Below are 11,581 nucleotides of genomic sequence, written 5' to 3'. Positions count from 1 at the left end.
ATGCCCACAAGAGAAAGCAGGAAAGATCTAAAATCGACACCCTAACATCACAATTAAAAGAACTAGAGAAGAAAGAGCAACAAATTCAAGAGCTAGCAGAAGGCAAGAAATAACTAAGATCAGAGCAGAACTGAAGGAGATAGAGACACAAAAAACCCTTCAAAAAATCAATGAATCCAGGAGGTGGTTTTTGGAAAAGATTAACAAAATTGATAGATCATGAGCAAGACTAAGAAAAGAGAGAAGAATCAAATAGATGCAATAAAAAATGATAAAGGGTATATCACCACTGATCGCACAGAAATACAAACTACCATGAGAGAATACTATAAACACCTCTACACAAATAAACTAGAAAATCTAGAAGAAATGGATAAATTCCTGGACACATACACCCTCCCAAGACTAAACCAGGAAGGAGCTGAATCCCTGAAAAGACCAATAACAGGCTCTGAAATTGAGGCAGCAATTAATAGCCTACCAACCAAAAAAAAGTGCAGGACCAGACAGATTCACAGTCAAATTCTACCATAGGTAAAAAGAGGAGCTGGAACCATTCCTTCTGAAACTATTCCAATAAATAGAAAAAGAGGGAATCCTCCCTAACTCATTTTATGAGGCCAGGATCATCCTGATACCAAAGCCTGGCAGAGACACAACAAAAAAAGAGAATTTTAGACCAATATCCCTGATGAACATCAATGCAAAAATCCTCAATAAAATACTGGCAAAACAAAGCCAGCAGTACATCAAAAAGCTTATTATCCACCATGATCAAGTGGGCTTCATCCCTGGGATGCAAGTCTGGTTCAACATACACAAATCAATAAATGTAATCCATCCCATAAACAGAACCAATGACAAAAAACACATGATTATCTCAATAACTGCAGAAAAGGCCTTCGACAATATTCAAAAGCGCTTCATGCTAAAAACTCTCAATAAACTGGGGATCGATGGGACATATCTCAAAATAATGAGAACCCACAGCCAATATCATATTGAATGGGCAAAAACTGGAAGCATTCCCTTTGAAAACTTGAACAAGACAGGGATTCCCTCTCTCACCACTCCTCTTCAACATAGTGTTGGAAGTTCTGGCCAAGGCAATCAGGCAAGAGAAACAAATAAAGGGTATTCAATTAGGAAAAGAAGAAGTCAAATCGTCCCTGTTTGCAGATGACATGATTGTATATTTAGGAAACCCCATCGTCTCAGCCCAAAATCTCTTTCAGCCAATAAGCAACTTCAGCAAAGTCTCAGGATACAAAATCAATGTGCAAAAAATCACAGGCATTTCTATACACCAATAACAGACAAACAGAGAGCCAAATCATGAGTGAACTCCCATTCACAAATGCTACAAAGAGAATAAAATACCTAGAAATAAAACTTACAAGGGATGGGAAGGACCTCTTCAAGGAGAACTACAAACCACTGCTCAACAAAATAAAAGAGGACACAAACAAATCGAAGAACATTCCATGCTCATGGATAGGAAGAATCAATATTGTGAAAATGGCCATATTGCCCAAGGTAATTTATAGATTCAATGCCATCCCCATCAAGCTACCAATGACTTTATTCACAGAATTGGAAAAAACTACTTTAAAGTTCATATGGAACCAAAAAAGAGCTCTCATTGCCAAGATAATCCTAAGCAAAAAGAACGAAGCTGGAGGCATCACGCTACCTGACTTCAAACCATACTACAAGGCTACAGTAACCAAAACAGCATGGTACTGGTACCAAAACAGAGATATAGACCAATGGAACAGAACAGAGCCCTCAGAAATAATGCCACATATCTACAACTATCTGATCTTTGACAAACCTGACAAAAACAAGAAATGGGGAAAGGGTTCCCTATTTAACAAATGGTGCTGGGAAAACTGGCTAGCCACATGTAGAAAGCTGAAACTGGATCCCTTCCTTACACCTTATACAAAAATTAATTCAAGATGGATTAAAGACTTACATGTTAGACCTAAAACCATAAATCCCTAGAAGAAAACCTAGGCAGTACCATTGAGGACATAGGCATGGGCAAGGACTTCATGACTAAAACACCAAAAGCAATGGCAACAAAAGCCAAAATTGACAAATGGGATCTAATTAAACTAAAGAGCTTCTGCACAGCAAAAGAAACTACCATCAGAGTGAACAGGCAACCTACAGAATGAGAGAAAGTTTTTGCAATCTACCCATCTGACAAAGGGCTAATATCCAGTATCTACAAGGAACTGAAACAAATTTACAAGAAAAAAAATCAAACAACCCCACCAAAAAGTGGGCAAAGGATATGAACAGACACTTTTCAAAAGAAGACATTATTGCAGCCAACAGACACAGAAAAAATGCTCATCATCACTGGTCATTAGAGAAATGCAAATCAAAACCACAATGAGATACCATCTCATACCAGTTAGAATGGTGATCATTAAAAAGTCAGGAAACAAAAGGTGCTGGAGAGGATGTGGAGAAATAGGAATGCTTTTACACTATTGGTGGGACCATAAACTAGTTCAACCATTGTGGAAGACAGTATGGCGATTCCTTAAGGATCTAGAACTAGAAATACCATTTGACCCAGCCATCCCATTTCTGGGTATATACCCAAAGGATTATAAATCATGCTGCTATAAAGACACATGCACACGTATGTTTATTGCAGCGCTATTCACAATAGCAAAGACTTGGAACCAACTCAAATGCCCATCAATGATAGACTGGATTAAGAAAATGTGGCACATATACACCATGGAATACTATGCAGCCATAAAAAATGATGAGTTCATGTCCTTTGTAGGGACATGGGTGAAGCCGGAAACCATCATTCTGAGCAAACTATTGCAAGGACAGAAAATCAAACATTGCATATTCTCACTCATAGGTGGGAATTGAACAATGAGAACACCTGGACACAGGAAGGGGAACATCACACAGTGGAGCCTGTCATGGGGTGGGGGGATGGGGGAGGGATAGCATTAGGATAGATACCTAAAGTAAATGATGAGTTAATGGGTGCAGCAAATCAACATGGCACATGTATACATATGTAACAAACTTGCAGGTTGTTCACATGTACTCTAGAACTTCAAGTATAATAATAAAAAAATAAAAGAATAGCTTTACAGAAAATCATCAAATCACAAAAGACAGTAAAAGTGTAATAAAGAAATAGAAAAACCACAAAACAAAAAATTAATTTAAATGAGAGTAGTCCTTTCCTACTTATAATTACTTTAAAGTAAATGGGCTAAATTCTCTAATCAAAAGCCATATAGCAGAAGAATAGATAAAATCAGACAAATGAAAACACTATATACTACTTAAGGAGACTTACTTTCACTTTAAGAATACACACATGGGCATGGTGGCTCATGCCTGTAATCCCAGGACTTTGGGAGACCAAGGGGTGTGGATTGCTTGAGCCCAGGAGTTCAAGTCCAGGCTGGGCAACATGACAATACCCTGTCTCAACAAAACAAAAACAAACAAGAATACAAAATTAGCTGGGTGTGGTGCTGCATGTCTGTAGTCCCAACTACTCAGGAGGCTGAGGTGGGAGGATCACTTGAGTCCAGGAGGTTGAGGGTGCAGTGAGTCGTGACTGCATCATTGCCCTCCAGCCTGGATGACAGAGGGAGACTCTGTCAAAAAAAGAAAGAAAGAAGGAAATACAGAAAAAGGGGAAGAGAGGGAGAGAAAGGAAAGAAAGAAAGAAAAAGGAAGGAAGGAAGGAAGGAAGGAAGGAAGGAAGGAAGGAAGGAAGGAAGGAAGGAAAAGAATACATACAGGCTGAAAGTGAAGGAATGAAAACAGCTATTCCATGCAAATGGTAACCAAAATACAGCAAGAGTGATTACACTTATCAGATAAAATAGAATTTAAGTAAAAAACTATCACAAGAGACAAAGAAACTTATTATATAATAATAGAGGAGTGAATACATTAAGAGAATATAACAATAAAAATATATATGCACCCAACATTAGAACACCTAAATATATAAAGGAAAAATACATAAGATAACGGAAGAGAGAAATAGATAGCAGTAGAATAATAGCAGGGGACTTTAATGTCCTACTTTCATTAATGGCAATATCATCCTGACAGAAAATCAATAAGGAAACAGTAGAATTAAACAACAGTGTAGACCAAATGGATGTAATAGACATATGCAGAACATTCCACCCAAAATCAGCAGAACACACATTTTTGTTTCAAGTGCACATGGAACATTCTTCAGAATAGACCATGTGTTAGACCACAAAACAAATCTTAACAAATTTAAGAAGACTGAAATCATAGTAAGTATATTCTCAAATCACAGTAGTATAAAACTAGAAATAAACAACAGAAGAAATTTCAGAAAATTTACACACGTGTGGAAATTAAACAACATACTCTTGAACAACCAGTTGGTCAAATAAGAAATCAAAAGGGAAATAAAAAATATTTTGAGACAAATAGAGATGGAAAGACAGCATATAAAAAGTTATGAGATGCAGCAGAAACAGTTATAAGAGGGCAGTTTACAATGATAAATGCCTACATTAAGAAAGAAAGATCTCAAATGAACAAACTCTATACCTCAAGGAACTAGAAAAAAGCAGAATGTATCAAGCTCATGGTCAGCAAAAGGAAGAAAATGACAATGAGCACAGCAGAAGTAAATGAAACAGAGACTGGAAAAGCAATAGAAAAAAATTAATAACCAAAAATTGCTTTATTTAAAAGATAAACAATATTGACAAACCTTTAGCTAGACTAAGAAAAAAGAGAGAAGACTCAAATAAAAGAATTTTAAATAAAAAAGGAGAAATCACAGCTGATAGCACAGAAATATAAAAGATAAGAGACTAAGTGGACAATTATAAGCCAACAAAAAATGGATAACTTAAAAGAAGTACAGAAATTCCTAAAAATGTACAGCCTACTAAGATTGAATCATGAAGAAATAGAAAATCTGAACCGATAAATCAGGAGGCTGAATCAATAGCCAAAACCTTCCAACAAAAAAAAAGCTCAGAACATGAAGCCTTCACTGGTGAATTCTACCAGATATTTAAAGAAACATTAATGCCAATCCTTTTCAAACTCTTGAAAAATTGAAAAGAAGGCAACACTTCAGAATTCATTTTACAAGTTCAGCATTATCCTGATAAGGATTATGTCTGATCCAAAGACAGACAAACACTCCACAAGAAGAGAAATGTATAAGCCAATATCCCTGATGAACACAGATGCGACAATCCTCAACAAAATTAGCAAACTGAATTCAACAGCATACTAAAAGGATCAGAACTAGGCGTAGTGGTACGTGCCTATATCCCAGCTACTCAGGGAGGCTGAGCAGGAGGATCAATTGAGCCCAGGAGTCCAAGTCAAGCCTTGGCAACATAGCAAATTTCCATCTCTAAAACAATAATTAAATAAACAAACAAATAAAAATAATAGTATCATACCCCATTATAAAATAAGTTTTATCCCTGGGATGCCAGGATGATTCAACACATGCAAATCAATAACACGGTACAGCACATTAACAAAATAAAGGATAAAATTAGATGATCATCTAAACAGATGCAGTAAAAGCATTTGACAAAATTAACATTTCATAATAAATATCTCAATAAAATATGTATAGAAAGAATGTACCTCAACATAAATAAAGTCCATATATGACAATCTCACAGCTAACATCATACTCAATGTGAAAAGCTGAAAGCTTTTCCTCGAAAATCTGGAACAAGACAAGGATACCCACTCTCATCATTTCTTTTCTGAAGAATGAAAACTACTTCTACTTCTAGTACTAGAAGTCCTAGCCAAAGCAATTAATCAAGACAAATATATTAAAATGCTTTCAAATTGAAATGGAAGTAGTAAAATGATCTCTGTTTACAGATGACAGACATACATAGAAAACCTTAAAGACTTCACCAAAAAACAGTAATAATTAATAAACAAATTCACTAAAATTGCAGGATACAAAATTAACATATAAAAATTAGTGGCGTTTCTATATAACAATAAACTATCCAAAACAAAGAAATCAAAAAAATCTCACAACATCATGAAAAAATGCATAGAAATAAATTTAACCCAGAAGGTGAAATACCTGAACACTGAAAACTATAAAACATTGCTGAAAAAAATTGAAGAGGACACAAACACATGGAATAATAGTCCATGTTCATGGACCGGAAGAATTAATATTGTCAACACATTCATACTACACAAGCTATCTACACATTCAAGCAACTTCTATCAAAAACCAAATGATGTTTATCATAGAAATAGAAAAAAATTCATAAAATTTGTAGAGAATCATAAGAAATATTGAATTGCTGAAGCAATCTTGAGCAAAAAGAACAACACTAAAGGCATCAAACTCCCTGATTTCAAAGTATACTACAAAGCTATAGTAATTAAACCAGCATGGTACTGGCATAAAAACAGACACATAGAGCAATAGAACAGAATAGAGAGCCCAGGCATAAATCCACATATATACAGTCAAGTGATCTTCCAAAATGATACCAAGAATACACATACACAATGGGGAAAGAATTGTCTCTTCAGTAAATGATGACGAGAAAACAGCATATACACAACCATAATAATGAAACTGGATCCTGATCTCACATCACAAATAAATAAACTCAAAATGGATTAAAATACTTAAATGTAAGACCTGAAACTGAAACCTCAATAATTAGGTTTTTGGGAACACTAAAATAGAACATAGGAAAAAGGCTTTTTGACAGTGGTTTGAGCAATAATTTTTCTAGTATTAACCCAAAAAGGTCAGGCAACAAAAGCAAAAATAGACAAATAGAATTACATCAAACTAAAAAGCTTATGCATAGGGAAGGACACAATAGATTGAAGACACAACTTATGAAATGGGAGAAAACATTTGCAAACCACACATCTGATAAAAGAGTAATATCCAAATATATAAAGAACTCAACTTAATAGCAAGAAAACACTTTAATTAAAAATGGGTAAAGAATATCAATAGACATTTGTCAAAAGAAATGGCCAACAGGTAAATGAAAAAAAAATGCTCAACATCACTAACCATCAGTAAAATGCAAACTAAAACCAAAATGATTGGGAGGCCGAGGCGGGTGGATCACCTGAGGTTGGGAGTTTGAGATCAGCCTGACCAATATGGTGAAACCCCGTCTCTACTAAAAATGCAAAAATTAGCCGGGCATGGTGGCACATGCCTGTAATCCCAGCTGCTTAGGATGATGAGACAGGAGAATCACTTGAACCTGGGAGGCGGAGGTTGCCGTGAGCCGAGATCGTGCCATTGCACTCCAGCCTGGGCAACAACAGCGAAACTCCGTCTCAAAAACAAAACAAAACAAAAAAACCTCAAATGAATATCACTTCACTCCTTTTAGAATAGTTATTATCAAAATGACAAACTATAACAAGTGTTGGTGAGGATATGGAGAAAAGAGAGCCCTTATACACTGTCAGTGGGAAGGTAAATTAGTATGGCCATTATGGAAAACAGTACGAAGACTCCTCAAAAAATTAAACATAGAACTACTATATGATCCAGCAATCCCACCTCTGGGTATATATATTTAAAAACTTAAATCAGCATGTTAAAGAGATATCTGCACTCTCATGTTCACTGCAACATTATTCACAAAGGCCAAAATATGGAATCCACCTAAATGTCCATAAGTGGATAAATAGATAAGGAAAATGTCATGTATATACAGTTGCCCCTTGAACAACATGGTTTGAATGCATAGGTTAACTTTTTTTTTTTTTTGCTATTTTTTTTATTCATTATTATTATACTTTAAGTTTTAGGGTACATGTGCACGGGTTAACTTATACATGGATTTCCTTTTCATACTGCAACCTCTGAGACAGCAAGACTAACCACTCCTCTTCCTCCTCCCTCTCAGTCTACTCAATGTGAAGATGATGGGCATGAAGATCTTTATGATGACTTACTTCCACTTAAAAGAATAGTAAATTTATTTTCTCTTCCTTATGACCTTCTTAATAACATTTTCTTTACCCTAGCTTACTTTATTGTAAGACTACAGTATACAATACAAACAACACATAACATATATGTTAATCAACTGTTTATGTTGTCAGAAAGGCTTCCAGTCAACAGTAGGATATTAATAGTTAGGTTTTTAGGCAGTTAAAATTTATATGCAAATTTTTTATTACGTGTCAGCGCCCCAACACCTACATTGTTCAAGGACCAATGGTATTCACAATGAAATACTATTCGGTCTTAAAATCTTATCATTTGTGACATTATGAATGAACATGTAGGACATTATGTTAAGTGAAATAAGGCACGCCCAGAAAGGGAAATTCTGCATGATTTCACCTCCATGTGGGACCTAAAAAAGTCAAAATCGTAGAAGCAGAGTAAAATGGTGGTTATCAGAAGCTGAGGGGTGCATGGGGAGGGAGACGTTGGGGAAGGAGAGATGTTGGTTAAAAGGTACAAAATTTCAGTTACACAGGTTGGATAACTTCTAGAGATTTATTGTGTAACATGGTGACTATAATTCATAATAATGACTTGTATACTTGAAATTTGTTTATACAGTAGGTTTTAAATATTCTCACCATAACAAATAAGTATATGATGTGATAGAGATATTAATTAGTTCAATATAATCTTTTCACAAAATATATAAATATCAAAACATCAAGTTGTACATCATAATGTGCTTTATGAGTCTCATCTTGATTACCTGCTATTTGATCTTTACCAAGTCATTTGGTCTCTCTTAAATTCTGTTTATTATCCTATAAAAGGATGTTAAGGATTAATATAAGTATAATAATAATACCTACTTCAAATGGTTCTTTTGTTGATTAAACCAAGTGATATATGTCGAAGTTCTTTGTAACCTGTGATGCATGATAAACCATCAAGTGGTATATCTATTTAAAATTTATCATGTGTTTAAGCAGTCTCTGGCCATAAGGTTGTCAATTGCCAACTCTCCCACACATCCTGGATTCACCAGAATAATATGTTGATAGAGCAAAGTTGGGTTATTACTAACTGCTATTATTATCTTATTGTATTCTTACTGTTAGAAACAATATCCCTTTAGTAGTCTTAATAGTGTTTCTGAAGGAAAAAAATCAAGGGTACATATTGATATGATTGTGGGGGTGGGGTTCTAGTAATTTAATCCTGGTCTTGCTTGCAATGTAGGGATCTGTTCAAGAGTGGGAGAAGCTGTAATCCCAGGACTTCGGGAGGCCAAGGCGGGTGGATCACCTGAGGTCAGTAGCTTGAGACCAGCCTGGCCAACATGGTGAAACCCCATCTCTACTAAAAATACAAAAAATTAGCTGGGCGTGGTGGTGGACGCCTGTAGTCCCAGCTATTTGGGAGGCTGAGGCAGCAGAATCACTTGAACCTGGGAGGCAGAAGCTGCAGTGAGCTGAGATGGTGCCACTGCAGTCCAGCCTGGGCAACAAGAGCAAAACTCCATCTCTCTCTCTCTCTCTCTCTCTCTCTCTCTCTCTCACACACACACAAAAAAAAAAGATAAAATAAAAATAAAAATAAAATAAAATAAAAAAATAAAGTGGGAGAAGTTTGCAATATAAGTAATTCTATACTGGTGCTTACAGACAGATGAGGGTCTTGATGTGATTCTTGATAAGTAAACAATTGTTTTAATAGCAAACAGCTTGCCCAGATGAGTAACTTATTGTCTTGAGAAGGGGATCATTGGTTTATTTTCAGGAAGTTGCTGAAGTAAGCAATCAAGTAATTTACTGGCTTATAGGTTTATCTTCCAGAAAAAAAAAGTAGTAAAGTCAGGTTGATGTAGGCCACCTTAGTTCTTAGTTTTGAAATTAAAGCTGTGTAGCTGCATGTAGTCTTACTTTTCAGGGATATATAAAGATATTTGGTGAGAAAGTCTTGTGCTGTAGACCAAACTATGACTTTGGAGTTATAGAGTTCTAGATATAATTCTTAGAAAATTACTAACTTTCTTACAATGTCAGTTTCTTTATTTTTGAAATTTGAGACCAATGTGCCAACATGACAACTGTTAATTTCAGTGTCTTAGTTCATTTTGGGATTCTATAACAAAACATCCAAGGCTGGGTAATTTATAATTAAAATAAATTTATTTCTCACAGTTTTGGATGCTGGGAAGTCCAATATCATGGTGCCAGCATCTGGCAATCACCTTCTTGCTGTTTTATCCCATGGCAGAACGTGGAAGAGTAAAGAGAGCTTGTGCATATGAGACAAGGTGAAAAGATCAAACTCAAAGCCTCAAGACCTTTTATAATCAGCATCATGTTATTCATGAGGGTGGATCTCCCATGACCTGAGCACCTCAGATTAGGCCCCACCTCTCAATATTGTTACACTGAGGGCTAAATTTTCAACACATGCTTTTGTGGGGAATATTTTCAGACCATAGTATTCTGGTAATTTTTGTCCAGGAAAAGAAGAATGTAAACTAATACATAATTTTACTTCTAGCTTGATAAAATTCTTGGAAACTAATTTTTCTGAGCAAACAGTTTGCTCATTTTGGCCAAGAGCACTTCTTTTGGAACAACAGATTACTCATCTGGGAAACAGTTCACTTACCAGAAAGCTTTACTTATCAAGACTCCTTTAAAATTTTACCTTGCTGTGTCTTCCAATTTTGAATTATTATGTCATGTATTTTCCCAATCCCAATAAGTTTCCTGCCAGGAAAGACTACATTACCCACTTAATCTCAGATTCCAAGCCCTATAAATAACCTTTTCTGACTCCTTCCCTACGCTTTTCAGATGGCACTAAGACCACGTTAAGGTCTTTCTACAGCAAGTCTACTCAATTTACCTTGCTTGATCAACAAGGTTTTATGGAAGTCTTTCTTGAGAGTCAATAACAGACATTTTAAGAAAAGGGAATAGAAATAATTACCTTCCAAGTTGGTTATAAAGTTTAGAATATGTACATATAAAAGTACCAAGCATTGCTTCTGGCATATGGTAGGGACTTCTTGACTGGTACTCATTATTATTATAGGTAAGTTTCAGGAAGATTATATTTCATTGAGAGATCTAGGACTAGCAAAGGTGTCTTTCCCCAAATGCAAAGGTTATATTTATGAAAATCCCTGTGCTAGAATGAAAGGGTTTAAGAATATAGACATTAATAAAAGAAGGGTGCAGTCTTGGGAGATGACATGTGAACATATGAAGGTCCTTAAAAATGCTTATTTACATTGCCAAAATAAAACAAGATAACATATGATACATGTACTAAATTGAGACAGTAATACTTATATTTGTACATTCCAAACAAAATTAATTTCCAATTACCATCCCTAGCTGCCTAGAAGTAAAACCAGATTTTTTTATCTTAGTTTCAGGGAAGTAATATTCACTTTACTTGGCTGGATATAATATGCTATGCAGAATTAGCCAAACTTGAGGTTAAGGGCACAGTCTTTCAGACTGCCAAGTGTACCCAAGATTTCAGACACCAACTGCGAGTCTGGGGGTTTCCCAAAACCACCATCAGTTTTGATAATTC

This window comes from Homo sapiens, chromosome 12, assembly GCF_000001405.40.
Source record: "Homo sapiens chromosome 12, GRCh38.p14 Primary Assembly".
Taxonomy (NCBI): Eukaryota; Metazoa; Chordata; class Mammalia; order Primates; family Hominidae; genus Homo; species Homo sapiens.
This window is presented reverse-complemented; position numbering follows the sequence as displayed.